Source organism: Homo sapiens, chromosome 19, assembly GCF_000001405.40.
Source record: "Homo sapiens chromosome 19, GRCh38.p14 Primary Assembly".
Taxonomy (NCBI): Eukaryota; Metazoa; Chordata; class Mammalia; order Primates; family Hominidae; genus Homo; species Homo sapiens.
Genome location: NC_000019.10, coordinates 18,085,013 through 18,105,854, shown reverse-complemented (window position 1 = coordinate 18,105,854; position 20,842 = coordinate 18,085,013). Strand labels below are relative to the sequence as shown.

The 20,842-nt window shown below is 51.8% G+C and overlaps 2 protein-coding genes across 41 annotated transcripts in view, besides 5 other annotated features; one reads left to right on the top strand and one right to left on the bottom strand.

The window, feature by feature from the left end:
* MAST3 (microtubule associated serine/threonine kinase 3) overlaps positions 1-8,077 on the bottom strand; it is a 53,910-nt gene extending 45,833 nt beyond the window's left edge. For all 17 annotated transcript variants that reach the window (NM_001393501.1, XM_047438476.1, NM_001393502.1 and 14 more), the window contains exon 1: positions 8,024-8,077. In NM_001393501.1, the coding sequence (NP_001380430.1) occupies positions 8,024-8,062 (39 nt within the window). In that variant the 5' untranslated portion in view covers positions 8,063-8,077. The remainder of the gene's footprint in view (positions 1-8,023) is intronic.
* Positions 1,357-1,466: a silencer, noted in NCBI's record as "silent region_10370". NCBI's record gives its function as "represses an Ori minimal core promoter by ATAC-STARR-seq in GM12878 lymphoblastoid cells {active_cell/tissue: GM12878}" and the evidence as "EXISTENCE:reporter gene assay evidence [ECO:0000049][PMID:35858748]".
* IL12RB1 (interleukin 12 receptor subunit beta 1) overlaps positions 6,928-20,842 on the top strand; it is a 39,933-nt gene continuing 26,018 nt past the window's right edge. For 15 of the 24 annotated variants that reach the window (XM_011527975.3, XM_011527969.3, XM_006722741.4 and 12 more), the window contains exons 1-2: positions 7,039-7,100; positions 18,923-19,095. In XM_011527975.3, the coding sequence (XP_011526277.1) occupies positions 7,090-7,100; positions 18,923-19,095 (184 nt within the window). In that variant the 5' untranslated portion in view covers positions 7,039-7,089. Of the gene's footprint in view, positions 7,101-15,085; positions 15,206-18,920; positions 19,096-20,842 lie in introns of those variants that run through there. The other 9 variants (NM_001290023.2, NM_005535.3, NM_001440425.1 and 6 more) reach the window with 3 other exon arrangements.
* Positions 7,833-8,342: a silencer, noted in NCBI's record as "silent region_10369". NCBI's record gives its function as "represses an Ori minimal core promoter by ATAC-STARR-seq in GM12878 lymphoblastoid cells {active_cell/tissue: GM12878}" and the evidence as "EXISTENCE:reporter gene assay evidence [ECO:0000049][PMID:35858748]".
* Positions 12,146-12,225: a silencer, noted in NCBI's record as "silent region_10368". NCBI's record gives its function as "represses an Ori minimal core promoter by ATAC-STARR-seq in GM12878 lymphoblastoid cells {active_cell/tissue: GM12878}" and the evidence as "EXISTENCE:reporter gene assay evidence [ECO:0000049][PMID:35858748]".
* Positions 18,590-18,649: an enhancer, noted in NCBI's record as "active region_14296". NCBI's record gives its function as "activates an Ori minimal core promoter by ATAC-STARR-seq in GM12878 lymphoblastoid cells {active_cell/tissue: GM12878}" and the evidence as "EXISTENCE:reporter gene assay evidence [ECO:0000049][PMID:35858748]".
* Positions 18,660-19,009: an enhancer, noted in NCBI's record as "active region_14295". NCBI's record gives its function as "activates an Ori minimal core promoter by ATAC-STARR-seq in GM12878 lymphoblastoid cells {active_cell/tissue: GM12878}" and the evidence as "EXISTENCE:reporter gene assay evidence [ECO:0000049][PMID:35858748]".

The following is a 20,842-nucleotide window of genomic DNA, read 5'->3' as shown; positions in this document are numbered from 1 at the left end:
CGGGTGACTCCCTTTTGAAGACCCTTTTAGAGCTCAGCAAACTGACCTGCACCAACTCTGGGTGCCCTCACCGCATGAAGGATAGAAAGCCGTGAGCTTGTGTTCCACTGTGACCTCACAGTCCATCCTCAGACATGGGCTGCCCAAGAGGGTTTTTTTTTGTTGTTGTTTTTGTTTTTTTGAGACAGACTTTTGCTCTTGTTGCCCAGGCTGGAGTGCAATGACACAATCTCGGCTCGCTGCAACCTCTGTCTCCCAGGTTCAAGCGATTCTCCTGCCTCAACCTCCAGAGTAGCTGGGACTTTTTTTTTTTTTTTTAGAAGAGACAGGGTTTTGCCATGTTACCCAGGCTAGTCTTGAACTCCTGACCTCAGATGATCCACCCACTTTGGCCTCCCAAAATGCCGGGATTACAAAATGCTGGGATTACAGGCATAAGCCACCATGCCTGGCCAAAAAACCAGTTTTTTGTTTGTTTGTTTGTTTGTTTAGATGGAGTCTCACTGTATCGCCAGGCTGGAGTGCAGTGGTGCAGTCTTGGCTCACTGAAACCTCTGCCTCTCGGGTTCAAGCGATTCTCCTGACTCAGCCTCCCAAGTAACTGGGGTTACAGGTGTGTGCCAGCATGCCTGGCTAATTTTTGTATATTTAGCAGAGACGAGGTTTCACTATGTTGCCCAGGCTGGTCTCGAACTCCTGACCTCAAGTGATCCATCCACCTTAGCCTCCCAAAGGGCTGGGATTACAGTGTAAGCCATCGCACCCGGTCAATCACGAGGGTTTATTAAATTCTCAAAATGCCATGTGGCACAAGTTTAGAATCTGGGGACACCCAGACCTGGGTCCAGTTCAATTCTCTGTTTCTTCCTGGCCATGCAAATTATTTGTATGCCCCGTGCCTCAGTTTCCCCATCTGTAACTGGAGATGACGTGAGGAGGGTTCTGGGTTAATCATGATCAGCCATTACTATTGCTGCTGTTGTGTGCTGTTGTACTATTGTTGAGCTCAGCAAGGGACCATGGAAGCTGTCATAATACCTGGTAAATGTCCTTGCATTTACTGAGCCACCTCCTACGAACCGCGGGCAGGGGCTGTTTTACTGGCAGGGAAACTTAGGTGCAGAGGAAAGCCGGCTGCCCACGTCTCTTAGTGGAGTGAGAGGCAGGAAACTGGGTCTCAGGACACCCTCCCTCCACACACATCAGGGCGGCCACGTTGGGGACACACGACTATTTTTACTTTGGTGGGCTCCAGGCTGCCCACGTCGTGATCTGGGTGTTCGCCATAGCAACCAGTGACGCCATCGGCCCCTACAGCCAATTGGAGGGGGCCGGAAGCTGCTGGGCTGCCGGATGACCCAGCTGGGAGGGCAAGGTCTCCCGGGAGAGGCGGGGAAGGGTCGCGGGGGTGTGGCGTTACCCCAGGCCTGACTTCAGCTGCTCTGCGCTCAGAAAACCAAGCTGTCACGATGGGAGGAGAATAATCTACCCCTCGAAGGTCTCTCTGACTGCTTGAATATGTCTGAGGACAGACAACTCACGGCGTTTAGTTCAAGCAGTCATGGTGATGGAACCATCACCACCATCACCGTGGCCATTAGGGTCTCCTTCTTCCCCTTCCAATAGTTGTGGGAATTTTTTTTTTTTTTTTTTTTTTTTTTTTTTTTTTTTTTTTGAGACAGCGTCTGGCTATGTCGCCCAGACTGGAATGCAGTGGTGCAATCTTGGCTCACTGCAACCTCCGCCTCCAGAGTAGCTGGGATTGTGGGCATGTGCCACCACACCCGGCTAATTTTTGTATTTTTTATAGAGATGAGGTTTCACCATGTTGCCCAGGCTGGTCTTGAACTCCTGGTCTCAAGTGATCCACCTGCCTTGGCCTCCCAAAGTGCTGGGATTACAGGCATGAGCCACTGCACCCAGCCAGTTGTGGGATCTTATACCACTTCCTCCACTACCCCACGTGAAACAGGGAGGGATTTGAACCCTGGTGGGGGGTCCCACTTGCACCCCATCCAGGCATTTCCTTCCAAAACTCTGACAGTCCTAGGTTCCCAGTCTGGCTCCCCCACTCCTGCACTGTGTGACCCGACAAGTGACTTAACCCCTCTGTGCCTCAGTTTTCTCATTTGGAAAATGGCCCAGTGACATAGGGTCCCTGGAGGAATCAATGAGTAGCAAGCTCAGAGCCTGGTGCTGGGGGAGACTTGGATGGATGGGAGTCAAGACAATGATCAAGACGTGAATAATAACCACCAGTTGAAAGTTGCTTCCAAAAGACAAAAAGATGTGAATATTTTGTTTGTTTGTTTGTTTTCAGATGGAGACTTGCTCTGTCGCCCAGGCTGGAGGGCAATGGTGCGATCTTGTCTCACTGCAACCTCCACCTCCTGGGTTCAAGCGATTCTTCTGCCTCAGCCTCCCAAGTAAGCTGGGATTACAGGCGCCCACCACCACGCTTGGCTGATTTTGTATTTTTAGTAGAGATAGGATTTCACCATGTTGGTCTGGCTGGTCTTGACCTCCTGACCTCAAGCAGTCCTCCCATCTCGGCCTCCCAAAACGCTGGATTACAGGCATGAGCCACTGTGCCTGGCCTGAAGATGTTTTTTTAAAGTGGCAGAGAGAGGTGAGGCAAAATCGGCAGCTCCCTGCAAAGGCTCCCGGGGAAGCTGGACCACACAGAACTCTCCTGGCACCACTCCCGGACCCTTCGGTCCCCGCACCATCTGCTTTCCACCCACAGCTCCCTCTGTGCCTGCTGTTCCCCTGGGAGTGGTTCCCACCCAGAGGAGTGGAGGTTGGGGAGGCCCCGACCCCCTGAAACTGCCCTTTAAAGGTAATATTTATGGTATACCCGTCTGCGCTTGCCCAGGCTGGGGGATGCTGCCTCCCCAACAAGCTTTAGCCCCACCTTGAGGAAATCCCATTTTGGAGAAGACATAGCACAGCAGGAGCACCCCCATACTGGAGGGATTAAGAGAGACCCGAAGCAGCTGGGTGCTGTGGCTCATGCCTGTAATCCCAGCACTTTGGGAGGCTGAGGCGGGAGGATCACTTAAGATCAAGAGTTTGAGCCAGGTGCGGTGGCTCACGCCTGTAATCCCAGCACGCTGGGAGGCCAAGGTGGGCGGATCACAAGGTCAGGAGTTCAAGATCAGCCTGGCCAACATAGTGAAACCCCGTCTCTACTTAAAATACAAAAATTAGCTGGATGTGGTGGCAGGCGCCTGTAGTCCCAGCTACTCGGTAGGCCGAGGCAGGAGAATCCCTTGAACCCCGGAGGCGGAGGTTGCAGTGAGCCAAGACCACACCATTGTACTCCAGCCTGGGTGACAGAATGAGACTCCGTCTCAAAAAAAAAAAAAAAAAAGGTGGCCGGGCGCAGTGGCTCATGCCTGTAATCCCAGGACTTTGGGAGGCTGAGGCAGGCAGATCACCTGAGGTCAGGAGTTCGAGACCAGCCTGACCAACATGGAGAAACCCCGTCTCTACTAAAAATACAAAATTAGCAGGATGTGGTGGCGCATGCCTGTAATCCCAGCTACCTGGGAGGCTGAGGCAGGAGAATCGCTTGAACTCGGGGGCAGAGGTTGCGGTGAGCCGAGATCGTGCCATTGCACTCCAGCCTGGGCAAGAAGAGCGAAAGAGTGAAACTCCGTTTCAAAAAAAAAAGGCCAGGCGCAGTGGCTAACACCTGTAATCTCAGCACTTTGAGAGGCCGAGGTGGGAGGATCACGAAGTCAGCAGATGGAGACCATCCTGGCTAACACGGTGAAAGCCCGTCTCTGCTAAAAATACAAAAAATTAGCCGGGTGTGGTGGCAGGAGCCTGTAGTCCCAGCTACTCGGGAGGCTGAGGCAGGAGAATGGCATGAACCTGGGAGGTGGAATGAGCGGAGATCACGCCACTGCACTCCAGCCTGGGCGACAGAGCAAGACTCCGTCTCAAAAAAAAAAAAAAAAAAAAAAAGAGTTTGAGGCCATTCTGGCCAACATGGTGAAACACCATCTCTACTAAAAAATATAAAAATTATATTAGTCGGGTGTGGTGGCGCTCGCCTGTAATCCAGCTACTCAGGAGGCTGAGGCTGTGAGAATCGCTTGTATCCAGGTGACGGAGCCTGCAGTGAGCCAAGATGGCGCCACTGCACTCCAGCCTGGGCCACCGCACTCCAGCCTGGGCGACAGGGCAAGATCCTGTCTAAAAAAAGAGAGACTCAAAGGGAGAAGAGGGGTTGGAGGCACACAGAGAGGAGAGCTAAGGGGCTTCCTGGAGTAGGGGGTGTCAAACAAAGCCTGCAGGCACATGGAAAACACCAGTCCATGCCCAGCAAACAGCACGTGCAAAGGGAGGTGAGACTCAGCCTGCTGGGCACCAAGCCCGGTTGGAAGTTCGATGCCCCTGGAATTAAATGGGAGAGAAGTCAGCATGGACCACATGGCACCAGCCCCAGGGCTTCCAGGAGGAGGAGGAGGAGGAGGAGAAGGAGAAGGAGGAGGAGGAGGAGGAGGAGGAAAATAAGTGGAAGCTGTCCATGAGAAAGCAGGATCACCTTGGAGGGCTGAACCTAGAGGAGCCACCCCAGTAGCGGCAGAGACAAAAGTCCAGATACAGGCTCTAGCCCTTCTCTGCCGGGGGATGCTCTGTTTGTGGGACCTGGTGTTTTGAAATTCGGTCATGTGTAAAGCAAAGGTCCAAGTAGGAGATGATAAATGTAATAAGATAATAGTAGTAGTAGTAATAACAGCTCACGTTACCCGGTGCCTGCACACGTTATGCGTGAGGCTGAGTTTAACCCAAATTGGGAAGGTCTCCACCTCCTCCCTGGACCCAGGGCTGTCGCAAACTGGCCGCCCGCGGGCCAGGCCGGATCCTTTTTCAGACCTTTCCTGCACACAGCCAACAGCACGCCTCACATTGTCACCACCGGAGAGGACGCCCTGGGCTATGCGTCTGGATTGGCCGGTCAGCACCCGTTTGTGAATGGACTCTTTGGCCTTTGGCCTCCAGGAAATCTGATTGGCTCGCATCAGCGATCTACCCCCTGATTGGCTGGGGTGCTCCTGGACCATTAACAAGGTTTCCAGTCAAAAGAGACCCCAAACTGGGGCTGATGAAGACAACACCTTCACGTGCCAGATTGGTTAGAATTTCTCTGGCTTCCTGGTGGGTACTTCCCTCTTTGGGCCTCAGTTTCTTCCTTTGAAAAGTGGAACTAATAATAGCACTGACCACTCGGGCTGTTGGGAGAATTGAATGCATGAGAGGGCTTAGCCTGTTAATATGAACGGTTATTCCCACTTTACTATTATTTTATTATTATTTTAATCTTCTTCCACTTGGACCTTTATTTTTATTTTTGAGATAGGGTCTCGTGATCATGGCTCACTATAGCCTCAAACTCCTGGGCTCAAGAGATCCTTCTTGGCTGGGCGCGGTGGCTCACGCCTGTAATTCTAGCACTTTGGGAGGCCGAGGTGGGCGGATCACCTGAGATCAGGAGTTTGATACCAGCCTGGCCAACATGGCGAAACCCCGTCTCTACTAAAAATACAAAAATTAGCCGGGCGTGGTGACATGTGCCTGTAATCCCAGCTACTCGGGAGGCTGAGGCAGGGAGAATTACTTGAACCCGGGAGGTGGAGGTTGCAGTGAGCCGAGATTGCGCCACTGGACTCCAGCCTGGGTAACAGAGCATGATTCTTTCTCAAAAAAAAAAAAAAGAGAGAGAGAGAGAGATCCTTCTGCCTCAGCCTCCTTGAGTAGCTGGGACTACAGTCATGAGCCACCACACCTGGTACACTTAGACTTTCATTCCATGCTCCTTCCTGGCTTCCTGCCCTTTTTGATTCCCCCACTCCTGCTCCTAGCCCTCCAGAGGAGTCTTCCCAGCCCCTCAATATGGGCATGTCCTCTCCTGCTCCAGCACCTTCCATAGCTCCCCATCACCCTAGGGGGAAAGTCTAACCTCTTCAAAATCAGCACTGAAGGCCCTGGAAGCATTAAGTCCTGGCCATCAGCCTCTAGTGCTAAGAAATAGGTTCAAGTTCTTGTTTCCCCATATAAACAGGTAAGAAAGGCTACATGCCTCTGGGCCTTTGCACGTGCTGTGGCCTCTGCCCGGAATGCCCTCATTCAGTCGGGGAATCCGTGCTCATCCCTCCACCTTCGTGGAGGGACGCCTGTGCTGGGTTGGTTTGGAGAGGAAGCCGGAACTGCGTGGGTTCAAATCCTGTCTGACTCTGTCACCTATACTTTGTGAAACCCGGACAGTGGCTATGCTTCTCTGAACCTCAGTTTCCCCTTTTGTAACATAGAACTTACCATCAGGAAATGTTTGACCCCCCCACCATGGAACAGGCCCCACTTCTTGACGTCAGCAGCACCCCCATTCGCCTACCCGGAGGCGGTTTCTCTATTTTAAGAGGCTGCGGGCGGGTTGGCATCTAACTGGGGCTGGAGGCGGGACTGCCCCCCCACCAACACCACGCTGCTCGCCAATCCCGCCCCGCCCCCTCCTTTCCGCCCAAGTCCCCCACTCTTGCCTCTGGCCTCAGCGCCTCCAGTTCTGCCCCACCCCCGCGCGGCCAGAGACCGGGTGTCTCTGATCTGCAGCTCAGCCCGTGCCTTCCCTGACCACTCCCGACCTGGCTTCCCATCACCTGCTGAGTTCGCAGTCCCGCAGCTACCGGTGCGGCTCCAGGTTGGAGACCCGCCGGCCCCATTCCTCTCACCCCCTCAACCCGCCCGGAGCTAACCTCAGTCCCCGACCCCCACCCCACCTGCTCAGTCCTCCCTAGGTTCCAGCTTCTGTCAACCTCTTTCATTTCCCTAAATACCGCCCCCCGCTGCAATGCCTCGCCACCCTTGGCTGCCTCCTCTACCCCAGGGCTCCCAGCAATGACTGGGTCAGGCGCCTCCTTCACTTGCTGTGAGTCCCTTATCACAACTGATCACTCCGTGGGGTCACCGCTGCTCTGGCGTCTACCTCCCCCAACAGGTTGGGGTTTCTAGGAGGGCAGCTCCAGAGGTTGCAGAACACTCCGCTGCCTCTCCAGAGCCAGGCACACAGCAGGCGCTCCATAAATGTTCGTTGGGTAAGTGCTGAATCCCAGGTTCCCTACCTGAAAACTTGGTGGCTTCTTAAGGGTGTGGTCTAAGTCCCAGAGGAAAATGGCCAAATCTTAATTCCTGTTTTTCTTTTCTTATAATGGGGACACTGAGGCCCAGAGAAGTCAAAGGGTGGCTGCCCGGGGTCATGTAGTCCCTGTGTGGCTTCAAACTTAGGCTTCTGCTGTCCCCGACGCCTGTGTCCCTACCTCCTGATGACACAGCCTCCTAAACATAAACTCAGTAAAAGGAGGACCCTATGGCTCATTGGAAAACTGAGGCCCAGAGAAGCAAGGGTGCCCTCCCCCCAGGTCACACTGCTGGTTGGCAGCGCCTTGTGCCGTAAGAGAGCTGGTTGAGGGCGCAGATCGAATCCCAGCTAGGCGACCTCTGGAGAGTGGCTTTCCGGGACTAGAGCCTCAGTTTCCTTATTCTGACAAATGGGCGCCTGACAGCCCCAACCTCCCCAGGTCGTCGTAGGGCTGAGCTGAGGGTGTACAGTGGTGCAGCGACGACCCAAGGAGGTATTAATACATATGAACTCATATTAATACATCGCTAGTAATAGGACTAAAACAACCATGAACATATGGTGAGCTCTCTGGCTGCTGTTGCTAGCATTATTATTAGAACAGCTGGTGGGGAGGGGCAGAGCCCTCAGCCTCTTCCTCCCACGCCATCGCTTGGAGCCTCAGTTTCCCTAGATGTCCAAGGGGGCACCTTCCCCCTTCCCACCATGAGAAAAAGCACTTTGAGAAGCGGGTGGTCAAAAAGAAGCGATCTGAGCGTTCCCCACCCTCTGCCTCAGTTTCCCTACAGCCCGTGAAGGCCCCGCCCCTCCCGGCACCTTTCAGGCCGCGTCCACTTGGCCGCGCCCTCTGCCTTCCGCCCGCCCGCGCAGGGGCCTCACCTGGAGCCCGCGGCGCCGCAGGAGGCTCGACTCGTCCATGGCCCGGGAGTCCGCGCCGCCAGGCCCGCCCCCGGCCCCGCCCCGGCCTGCCAGGCCCCGCCGCCAGGTGCCATTGGCCAGGCCGGTCAGCTGACACGGCCTGGCCCCGCCCCTCCCGGGGAGCCCGACCACAGGGCCCCGCCCCCACTGGGCGAGCTGGCCCCGCCCCTCCAGCAGAGCGCAGAAGTAAATATTTTGCATGAATCCTCTCAGAAGTAAGGCAGCATCGTTCAGCCCCATTTTGCAGATGAAGAAACTGAGGCTAAGATAGGTTAATCAATATGCCCAGCGCATTGGCCGGGCGCAGTGGCTCACGCCTGTATCCCAGCACTTTGGGAGGCCGAGGTGGGCAGATCACTTGAGGTCAGGAGTTCGAGATCACCCTGGCCAACATGGTGAAACCCTGTCTCTACTAAACAAAAAAAACCAAAACAAAACAAAAAAAAAATTACTTGGGGGTGGTGACGCGCGCCTGTAATCCCAGCTACTCAGAAGACTGAGGCAGGAGAATCGCTTGAATCCAAGAGGCGGAGGTTACAGTGAGCCGGGATAGCGCCGCTGCACTCCAGACTGGGCGACAGAGCGAGACTCTGTCTCAAAAACAAAAACAAAACAACAACAAAAAATGTGCCCAGTACACACAGCAGAACGGGTTCTAGGGTGAGGCGAGTGAGGATCTCACCCCTGTGCAAAATTTAAGGTGGCCCCACAAAACTCAGCCATCAAGAGAAATAATATTTTAAAAACATAAAATTAATGAAAACATTTATGATGAACAAAACATCAAAACTTTTATTTTTTATTTTATTTTTAGAGACGGGGATCTCACTATGTTGCCCAGGCTGGTCTTGAACTCCTGGCCTCAAAAGATCCTTCTGCCTAGGCCTCCCAAAGTGTTGGGATTACAGGTGTCAGCCACCGCATATGGCCAAAACACCAAAACTTTTTTTTTTTTTTTTTAATTTATGAGACGAGTCTCTCTGTTGCCCAGACTAGAATGCAGTGGCATGATCTCGGCAACCCCTGCCTCCTGGGTTCAAGCTATTCTCATGCCTCAGCCTCCCTAGTAGCTGGGACTACAGGTGCCCACCACCACACCAGGCTGATTTTTTGTATTTTTGGTAGAGATGAGGTCTCACCATGTTGGCCAGGCTTGTCTCGAACTCCTGGCCTCAGGTGATTCACCCACCTTAGCCTCCCAAAGTTCTGGGATTGCAGGCCAAAGAGTTTTGGTGTTTTGCCTGGCCAAAACACTAAAACTCTTAAGACATGATCAGACCCTTGTCCTTGCACCACTCAGCCTTGTTTGCCTCCCTTTAATCCTGGCCCTGGTGCCAATAAAACTTTACTTACAAAAGCAGGTAGCCGCTGCAGTTGTCAGTTTCTTTTTTGAGGATGATTGCCTTTTTGCCCTAAGTGTCTCATAAACACCATCTCTCACAGATATTTGAAGATAATTGTTCTACTCCATTTTGCAGGAGGGGAAACTGAGGCTGAGAAAAGCCCAAAGTCCCAAAATAGCACCCACATTTAAAAAAAAATTTTTTTTTTGAGACAGGGTCTCTCTCTGTCACCCAGGCTGGAGTGCAGTGGTGCAATCTTGTCTCATTGCAGCCTCTACCTCCCGGGCTCAAGCGATCTTCCTGCCTCAGCCCCCATACCCCAGCTCCCAGAGTAGGTGGGACCACAGGCACATGCCACCATGCCTGGCTAATTTTTTTGGGTTTTTTTTGTAGAGATGGAGTACCGCCATGTTTCCCGCGCTGGTCTCGAACTCCTGGCCTCAAGTGATGCTCCTGCATCAGCCTCCCAAAGCGCTGGGACTACAGGCATGAGCCACTGTGCCTGGCTTAGCACCTGCATTTTTTCTTTCCCTGGGACTCGCACTTTCTCTGCAGCCGCAGTTGTCTTCGGCTGCCCCACTGTACAGTGTGGACACTGGAGTATGCTTTCAGGCTCGAGGGGACCCTAGGAAGGGTCACTGGGCCTGACTGTCCATGAGGTACTGTAGAATTGCATCAAGTTATGGTGGCCAGATTGAGCAAATAAAAATACAGGATGCCAGGGAAAACTTGTTTTTCTCATACAATTTTAAAAATTGACATATAATTCACATACCATAAAATTCACGCTTTTAAAGTGTGCAATAAATTCAGTGTTTTAAGCATACTCACAGAGTTGTGTAACCATCACCACGATCTGATTCCAGGACATTTGTATCATCCCCAAAAGAAACCCTGTACCTATTAGCAGCCAGTCCTCATTCCCCCTCTCTCAGCCCCTGGCAACTACCAATCTGCTTCCTGTTCTATGAATTTTCCTGTGCTGGATATTTCATAAAAATGAAAACATAACATGTGGCCTTATGTGTCTGGCTTCGTTCAGCATCATGCTTTCAAGATGCACCCATGTTGTGGCAAATATCAGTACTTCATTCCGTTTCATGACCAAATAATATTCCATTGTATATATGTACATGTACATTTTGTTGATCCACTCATTTGTTGGTGGTCACTTGGATTTTTTCACATTTTGGTAGCTATTCTGAATAGAGCTGCTATAAACATTGGCATACAACTTTTTGCATAGATTTATTTCTTTATTTATTTATTTTGAGATGAAGTGTTGCTCTGATGCCCAGGCTGGAGTGCAGTCGCGGGATCTTGGCTCACTGCAACCTCTGCCTCCCAGGTTCAATTGATTCTCCTGCCTCAGCCTCCTGAGTAGCTGGGATTACAGACACCCGCCACCACTCCCAGCTAATTTTTGCATTTTTAGTAGAGACGGGGGTTTCACCATGTTGGCCAGGCTGGTCTCAAACTCCTGACCTTTAAGTGATCCATCCACCTTGGCCTCCCGAAAGGCTGGGATTGCAGGTGTGAGCTACCGCCCCCTGCCTTTGTGGATATATTTTGGTTCTCTTGGGTACTTACCTAGGAATGGACTTCCGGGGTCATATGGTGTAACTCTATGTTTTGGGTTGTTTTGTTTTGTTTTGGGACAGGGTCTTGCTCTTTCGCCCAGGCTGGAGGGCGGAGTAGCTGAGACTACAGGCACATGCCGCCATGCCCAGCTAATTTTTTGTATTTTTTGTAGAGACAAGGTTTCGCCATGTTACCCAGGCTGATCTCAAAATCTTGGGCTCAAGCGATCCTCCTGCCTTGGCTTCCCAACGTGCTGGGATTACAGGCATGAGCCACTGCGCCCAGCAACTCTATATTTTAAATTTGTAAAAGACAACCAGGCTGTTTTCCAAAGCAAACACCCAGTTAAATTTAAATTTCCATAAACAATGAATGTTTTTTCAGTGTAAGTATGCCCCCTTCAGTACTTGGGACATAGTTGCATTAAACAACAATGTGTTGGCCGTGTGTGCTGGCTCATGTCTGTAATCCCAGCACTTTGGGAGGCTGAGGTGGGTGGATCATCTGAGGTCAGGAGTTTGAGACCAGCCTGGGCAACATGGTGAAACCGCGTCTCTACTAAAACTACAAAAATTAAGGGGGCGTAATGGGGCACGCCTGTAATCCCCGCTACTCGGGGGGCTGAGGCAGGAGAATCACTTGAACCTGGGAGGCAGAGGTTGCAGTGAGCTGAGATAGTGCCAGTGCACTCCAGCCTGGGTGACAGAGCGAGACTCCATCTCAAACAAAACAAAACAAGACAAAACAAAACACAAACCAATATGTTGGTTGTCTGAAATTCCAATTTAACTGGGAATTTAATTTAAATGTTATTTAATGAATAATGACTACGAGTGAGTTTGTTAAATGAATGAATAGATTTTCTCCTGGCAAACTCCTATGCATCCTTCAACACCCTCTTTAGATGACCCCTCAGGGGCATCAGGGTCTCTTGGCCACATGGAGGGAAGCTCCCCACTCTTCGGGCTGAAGGTCCCTGAGAAGGCAGAAGTCAATGGGGGTGGGGAAGTCGTGTGTTTTATCTGGCAGTCCTACACTAAGTGAACTTCAGGCTGTAGCTTGCACACCCCAAGTGATGAGAAGCTCATGTCCTGCAATGGCCAATTGTTCTGACTCTGGGCAGCTCTGCCTCAAAGTTCTCCCTTAGTCCAGCCTGGGGTGGACATGTGACTCAGACTCGTTTATCCACCTCAGCCACTGTGATTGGTTCAAGGTGTACATGTGACCCAAGCTCAGCCTATCAGAGCCCTCCCTGGGGCTTTGACTGGAATCCTGGGGAAAGAGAGGTTCCCTGAACCAGGGTTGGGTTGGGCATGTGGGAACATGCTGGAGAGAGCCACCAGAGAGGTCTCAAATCCGCTGCTCCATCTGGAGAATTCCTACACTGAACTGCCTCCTGAACAACCCCTCAGTGGGCAAGAAGGAGTGCTTATTGAGTGACTGACTGGACTGACTGAATGAATGAATGCAGTTTTTCTGTGGTTAACACACACACACACACACACACGCACACACACAAGTATATATATATATATATTTGTGTTTTTTTGTTTTTTGTTTTTGAGACAAAAGTCCAGCTCTGTTGGCCAGGCTGAAGTGCAGTGGAGCAATCTCGGCTCACTGCAACCTCCGCCTCCTGGATTCAAGCAATTCTCCTGCGCTCAGCCTCCCGAGTAGCTGGAATTACAGGCACCTGCCACCACACCCGGCTAATCTTTGTATTTTTAGTGGAGACAGGGTTTCACCATGTTTGCCAGGCTGGTCTCAAACTCCTGACCTCAGGCGATCCACCCACCTCAGCCTCCCAAAGTGCTAGGATTACAGGCATGAGCCACTGTGCCCGGCCTAACATCTATATATTCTTCAAAATCCACTTCAAATTCTCTTTGAGAAGTATCAGAGGACCTTGTATTGAATGAACAAATACATTTTATTCTTGTGAGCTTCTATGTACCCATCAAAACTCTCCTCACATGTCTCTATAAGGGACATCAGGAAGTGTGGTGGTTGAATGAACTTTTTTCTTGGTAACCTCCTGAGTCTTCCTTAAAACATCCTCTAATCTGTTTGGGAGCGGTGGCTCATGCCTGTAATCCCAGCACTTTGGGAGGCTGAGGTGGGAGGATCCCTTGAGACCAGGAGTTTGAGACCAGCCTAGGCAACATAGTGAGACCACATTTCTTTTTTTTTTTTTTTTTCAGACAGAGTTTTGCTCTTGTCTCCTAGGCTGGGGTGCAGTGGCACAATCTCAGCTCACTGCAACCTCCGCCTACCAGGTTCAAGCGATTCTCCTGCCTCAGCCTCCTGAGTAGCTAGGATTACAGGCGCGTGCCACCATGCCTGGCTAATTTTGTATTTTTATTTTATTTTATTTTTTTGAGACAGAATTTCACTCTTGTTGCCCAGGCTGGAGTGCAATGGCACGATCTTGGCTCACCGCAAACCCCGCTTACCAGGTTCAAGTGATTCTCTTGCCTCAGCCTCCCAAGTAGCTGGGATTACAGACAGGAGCCACCATGCCCGGCTAATTTTGTATTTTTAGTAGAGACGGGGTTTCTCCATGTTGGTCAGGCTAGTCTCGAATTCCTGACCTCAAGTGATCTGCCCACCTCGGCCTTCCCAAAGTGCTGGGATACAGGCATGAGACCACATTTCTACCAAAAACTGAAAAAAAAAAAAAAAAAGCTGGATGGTCGAGGGGCGGTGGCTTACGCCGGTAATCCCAGCCCTTTGGGAGGCCGAGGCCAGCAGATCACTTAAGGTCAGGCATTTGAGACCAGCCTGGACAACATGGTGAAACCCCATCTCTACTACAAATACAAAAATTAGCTGGGTGTGGTGGTGCATGTCTGTAATCCCAGCTACTCAGGAGGCTGAGGCAGGAGAATTGCTTAAACTCAGGAGGCGGAGGTTATAGTGAGCTGAAATCGCACCACTGCACTCCAGCCTGGGTGACTGAGCAAGACTCTGTCTCAAAAGTAAAAAAAAAAAAAAAAAAAAGAAAAGCCAGGCATCATGGTGGCATTGGCCTGTGTCTCAGCTATATCAGAGGCTGAGGTAGAAGGATAGCTTGAAACTGGGAGGTTGAGGCTGCAGTGAGCTATGATTGTGTCACTGCACTCCAGCCTGGGTAACAGAGTGAGACCCTGTCTCAAATAAAAATAATAATTAAACATCCTCAAATGATCCCTCAGAGGCATTAGAAAGTCCTGATTGAATGATGAAAATTGTTCTTGTTGATGAGTGATGCCTATGAGTTTGTTAAATTAACAAATGGGTTGTCTCCTGGCTAACTCCTATGCATCCTTCAACACCCTCTTTAGATGATCCTCAGCGACGTTAGGGTCTCTTGCCACATGGAGGGAAGCTCGGCCCTCCTCCTCGGGCTGAAGGTCTCTCTCCCTGAGAAGGCGGAAGCTGAGGAGGTGGGGAAGTGCTGTGGTTCCTCCCGTCATGTTTTCTGGGGCCCTCGTGACTCGATCCTTCCTGCTTCACCCGCCCCCGAGTCTGTGGGGCACCTGAAAGTGGGGCAGCCCTGGGAACTTATCTCAGACGAGCTTCTGGGGCAGCTGGGTGGGGCCATAAGGGGCCCACAGGGCCTCTTGGCAGGCCTAGAGACGGAGGGAAGGAGGTGGGCTTGCCAAGATGTGGCAAGGGGAAGGTGGGATGTGGGGAACTTCAGAGGGAGTGTCAGGTTGTGACTTCAATAAGGGGAGAAATACCACTTCACCTTTGTCTGGGGTACCCCTCCAGCTCACACACCTGCCATGGCTCCCTACCGCCCTCGGAGAAAGCCAGGCCCTTTAGCCTGGCGCTCGAGGCCCCAGCCCATCACCCCACAGAAACCCAGACCCACTGTGTCCATCTTGGTGGTCCCCAAAGCACCTCCTCTGGACTTTTGCCTCTGCTGTGGCCTCTGCCGGAGATGCCCTGTAATTCTATACATTCTAGCTCAAGTGTCCCTCCTCCAGGCAGTCCTCCCTGCTCCACTTCAGGGCACCCGGCCTCCATCTGTTCCTGATCCCAAGGGGCTAGGGGCGTCTGTGTCCAGCTTTTCACCTCCCCAGCCCTGTATCTCCCTCCCTCGATGTTTTTCCAGCAGCTGCCAGGCAGAGGCCACTGGGGAACAACAACAATGACTAATCACACTGGCCAGCGGGTGGACAGCGCTCACTGCAAGCCAAGCCCTCCTTCATACTCACAAAAGCCCATTTTGCAGGTGGGAAAGATGAGGCCTGAGAGGGCCAACCTTGGTGCGGGTGGGGGAAGCCCTGAGGCACGGTCTCCACTCTGGAAGGGGCAAAACTATACTCCACAAGGGGTGGTTTGAATCCATCTCTTCATCTCCAGCTGGGGCCTCAGGTGGTCTGAGTGCCCCTGGACTCAGTTTCCCAATCTGTGAAATAAGGCAAGTGAGGGACTCTCCAGGAATTGGTGGAGTTGGGAGGGTCTCAGGATGGTCAGGAGGGGGCCATGACTTTCCTCTGATCTCTACCTATTTCCTCCACCTTTCTTGTTATTTTTTGAGCAGGGTCTTGCTCTGTGGCCCAGGCTGGAGTGCAGTGGCGCAATTAGAGCTCACTGCAGTCTCGACCTCCCTGGCTTAAGCCTCAGCCTCCCAGGTAGCTGGGACTACAGGCACCTGCCACCATGCCCAGCAAATTATTTTTTGTAGAGATGGAGTCTCACCATGTTGCCCAGGCTGCTCTTGAACTCCTAGCCTACAGCAATCCTCCTGCCTTGGCCTCACAAAGTGCTGGATTACAGGCATAATCCACCCTGCCTGGCCTCCTCCATCTTTATGTATCTCTCTATCTCTGTCCCTTTCTCTGTCTCTGCCCCTCCCCCAGGCCTCACACATCCATCCCCCAGCTGACCCTGGCCTGGGCCCCGGGGCCAGAGAAGGCTGTCCTGTATGGGGTCACAGGGCCCCCGTCCCCACTGTGCCAGGCCCAGGACACTGAGTCTTTGTCCCTAACTCACTGACCTCATAGCCTGCTGGGCGCCTGACCCTGGCCAGCTCAGCTGCCCCTCGGAGCCAGGCTTCTTGAAGGAGGGACCTCCTCCCAGGAAGCTGAACCGCATTGCACAACCCTGGCCACTTGGGCCTCAGTTTCCACAGATGCTCATCCCCAGGAGAGACCCTCTCCTTCTCCCTCCTCAGTGCCCCTGGACTCTAAGAATATTTCTTTTTTCTGTAGATGCATCTCACGTAACCTAAAATTCATCTTTTTTTTTTTTTTTGAGACATAGTCTCACTCTCTCACCCAGGTGGGAGTGCAGTGGTGTGATCTCGGCTCACTGCAACCTCTGCCTCCCGGGTTCAAGCGATTCTCCTGCCTCAGCCTCCTGAGTAGCTGGGATTACAGGTGCATGCCATCACGCCCAGCTAATTTTTGTATTTTTAGTAGAGACTGGGTTTCACTGTGTTGTCCAGGCTGGTCTCGAACTCCTGACCTCAAATGATCCACCTGGCTCGGCCTCCCAAGTGCTGGGATTGCAGGAGTGAGCCACCGCGCCCGGGCCGGAAATTCATCATTTTAAAGCAAACGATTCAGTGACATTTAGCACATTCAGTGTTGTGCAACCACCACCTCTATCTGGTTCCAGAACATTTGCATCACCCCAAAAGGAAACCCCGCATACATCAGCAGTCACTTCTCACTCCCGCCTCCCCCCAGCCCCTGACAACCACTCAGCTACTGTCTGCCTCTGTACATTTGCCTATTTTGGATATTTTATATAAGTGGAATCATACAGTGTGTGCCTTTCCTGTCCATCTTCGTCCACCCAGCATGATGGGTTTTTTTTTTTGTGTATGTGTGTTTTTTTTTTTTTGAGATGGAGTCTCACTCTGTCACCCAGGCTGGAGTGCAGTGGCACGATCTCAGCTCACTGCAACCTCTACCTCCCAGGTTCAAGTAATTCTCTCTGCCTCAGCCTCCCGAATAGCTGGAATTACAGGCACATGTCACCAGGCCTGGCAAATTTTTGTATTTTTAGTAGAGACAGGGTTTCGCCTTGTTGGCCAGGCTGGTCTCAAACTCCTGACCTCAGGTGATCCGCCCACCTCGGCCTCCCAAAGTGTTGGAATTACAGATGTGAACCACTGCACCCAGCCCAGCATTATGTTTTTGAGGGTTCATCCACATGGTAGCTTGGATCAGAGCTTCTCCACTGACATTTAGAGGCTTTGCCGACAGTGGGGAGGGAGGGGCAGGAAACAAAATACTCAGAGGCTAAGAAATGGAACATGGGGGAAAGACTAAGTTGCATCTCTTAAATTTTTTTTTTTTTTTTTTTAAGAGACAGGATCTTGCTCTGTTACCCAGACTGGAGTGCAGTGGCACAATCACGATTCACTGCAGCCTCAACCTCCTGGGTTCAAGCCATTCTCCCACCTCAGCCTCCTGAGTAGCTGAGAATACAGATGTGTGCCACCACGACTGGCTAACTTTTAATTTATATATATATATATATTTTGAGATGGAGTGTCACTCTGTTGCCCAGGCTGGAGTGCAGTGGCGCGATCTCGGCTCACTGCAACCTCCACCTCCTGGGTTCAAGCGATTCTCCTGCCTCAGCCTCCTCAGTAGCTGGGATTACAGGTGCCTGCCACCACACCCGGTTAATTTTTGTATTTTCAGTAGAGACAGGGTTTCACCATTTTGGTCAGGCTGGTCTCAAACTCCTGACCTCGTGATCCACCTGCCTTGGCCTCCCAAAGTACTGGGATTACAGGCGTGAGCCACCGCGCCTGGCCTAATTCTTTATTTTTTATAGAGATGGGGTCTTGCTATGTTGTTTAGGTAGACCCAAACTCCTGGGGTCAAGTGATCCTCCCACCTCGACCTCTCAAAGTGCTGGGATTAGAGGGGTGAGCCCAGGTGCACAAGGCTGGAGCTTGGCATGTGGGGAGGTGGGCATTGTGGAGGGCCAGCATGCTGCAAGCTCTTTGTAACAATTTGTTGGAAGGATGAAATTAGGCCATCCAAGAACACTGCCCTCCTTCAGCTCTTGAGTCTCAGATTCAGAAGCTGGCGAGATGGCCCGGTGCGGTGGCTCACGCCTGTGATCCCAGAATTTTGGTAGGCCAAGGCGGACGGATCATTTGAACCCGGGAGTTTGAGACCAGCCTGGGCAACATGGCAAAACCCCCTCTCTTAAAAAAAAAAAAATGCAAAAATTAGCTGGGCGTGGTGGTGCATGCCTGTAGTCCCAGTTCCTGGGGAGGCTGAGGTAGGAGGATGGCCTGAGCCTGGGGAGGTTGATGTTGCAGTGAGCCGTGATTGCACCACTGCACTACAGCTGGGCCACAGATCAAGACCCTATCTCAAAAGAAGAAAAAAAGAATTTGGCAGCCAGGCACGGTAGCTCACGCCTGTCATCCCAGCACTTTGGGAGGCTGAGGTGGGTGGATCACTTAGGGTTAGGAGTTCGAGACCAGCCTGGCCAGCATGGTGAAACCCTGTCTCTACTAAAAATACAAAAATTAGCTCGATGTTGTGGCAGTTGCCTGTAATTCCAGCTACTCGGGAGGCTGAGGCAGGAGAATTGCTTGAACCCGGGAGGCAGAAGTTGCAGTGAGTGGAGATCATGCCACCACACTCCAGCCCGGGCGACAGAGCAGGGCTCCATCTCAAAAAAAAAAAAAAAAATTGGCTAGAGAGGGCCAGAGACCTGGCCAAGTGCATGGAACCACAGGTGGCCCATGGGCCCATGGGGCTGGCATCTGGGTGTTCAGTTCAGGTCTGGGGCCAGCAGGGCAGAACCCCCTAGAACCCTGACTTGCTCCAAAGTCAGACTTGCTCCAGAGTCTGTGGCCGCCACCATCACCACCACCACGGAGCTGACTTCCTGGGTTTCTCTTTCACTTTGACTTGCCTTAGGGATGGGCTGTGACACTTTACTTTTTTTCTTTTTTCTTTTTTTTCAGTCTTTTCTCCTTGCTCAGCTTCAATGTGTTCCGGAGTGGGGACGGGGTGGCTGAACCTCGCAGGTGGCAGAGAGGCTCCCCTGGGGCTGTGGGGCTCTACGTGGATCCGATGGAGCCGCTGGTGACCTGGGTGGTCCCCCTCCTCTTCCTCTTCCTGCTGTCCAGGCAGGGCGGTGAGTCCCCTGACCCTGGCATGGCGGCTCCTCTTGCTGGGTGGAGGCACGTGTATGTGTGGAGAGCTGTGGGCCTGCTGTGTGGGTTGGTTTCATCTCTCTGTGCCTCAGTCTTTCCTGCTGTCAAATGGGAGATGGGCAGTCATGGCTTCTGGGATCGAACTTAGACATCTTTCCTCTGGTCTAGATTTTCTCTTCTGTGAAATGCACTAAATTTTTTCCACCTCCCGGAGTTCAATGAGAAAAAAAACTAAGGAAGGAATAAAAAGCAAGTATGTATCTAATAGGTATACATAGTATAGTATCTTATGTATGTAGTTTACAATAGATAGACATACATAATATAATGTATACAGTCATTTCCATATTTACGGGGCAATGGTTCCAGGACCCTCTGCAGATACCAAAATCCAAAGATGCTCAAGTTCCTGATATAAAATGGTAAAGTATTTGCATATAACCTATGCACATCCTTCCGTATACTTTACTTATTTATTTATTTATTTATTTATTTATTTATTTATTTATTTATTTACTGAGGTAGGGTCTCACTCTGTGTCCCAGGCTGGAGTGCAGTGGCCTAATCATAACTCATTGCAGCCTTGACCACCTGGGCTCAAGTGATCCTCCTGCCTTAGCCCCTTGAGTAGCTGGGACTGCAGGTGCACACTACCATGCCTGGTTAATTTTTTTGGTGTATACTTTTTACAGAGACAGCGTCTCGCTGTGTTGCCCAGGCTGGTCTCGAACTCCTGGGCTCAAATGATCCACTCACCTTGGCCTCCCAAAGTGCTCAGATTACAGGCATGAGCCACCATGCCCAGCCTTCCCATATACTTTTAATAATCTCAGGCCCTGCACGGTGACTCACTCCTGAAAATCCAGCACTATGGGAGGCCAAGATGGGTGGATCACTTGAGGTCAGGAGTTCGAGACCAGCCTGGCTAACATGGTGAAACCCCATCTCTACTAAAAATGCAAAAATTAGCCAGGCTTGATGATGGGCACCTGTACTCCCAGCTACTTAGGAGCTGAGGTGGGAGGATCGCTTGAACCCAGGAGGCAGAGGTTGCAGTGAGCCGAGATTGCAGCACTGCATTCCAGCCTGTGTGGCAGAGCAAGACTCTATCTCAATAATAATAATAATAAATAAACTTTCCTTCTCTGTACACTGGGGATCAGCGGGGTGCTGACTTTTTCAATGGCTCTTGAGATGCACTGAGTGCCTGTAGAATGCCCACAGCAGTGCTGGCCACACCTCAAGGTCCCAGCGCCTTCAGGGGCCAGGCATGGCTGGAGACCAGCAGCAGGGAGGGGGCGAGAGGCAGCCCACGAGGTATCCTGGAGATAGTGGCAGTGAGTGGTCAGTCCAGGGAAAGGGAAGGAGGATGGGCTTTAGGCTCTCAGGGGTGGGTGGGTGGGTGGGGGTTCTGTGTCATCACAGAGAGAGATGGAAGGATGGAGAGCCTTGTGTGTTAAGCATCTTTCCCCCCTCAAGGTTGGACACTTGGGGCTGTTTCCTGGGGTGCCGCCTTCTCCCCCAAGGCTTCCAATCTGCCTGCAGGGCTCAGGACAGGTCCTTCTTGTGGGAGTGAGGGCGCCGGGGTCTTCCTGACCCATCCATGGTGGCATCCCCCTCCTTCTCTCACCCAGTTCCACACCTAGCAGACTGTGGCAATCCCAAAGGGCACGGGGATCCCAGTGGCTGAGGGAGGTCGCTGCCTCCTGGAGAAATGTTATTAATAAT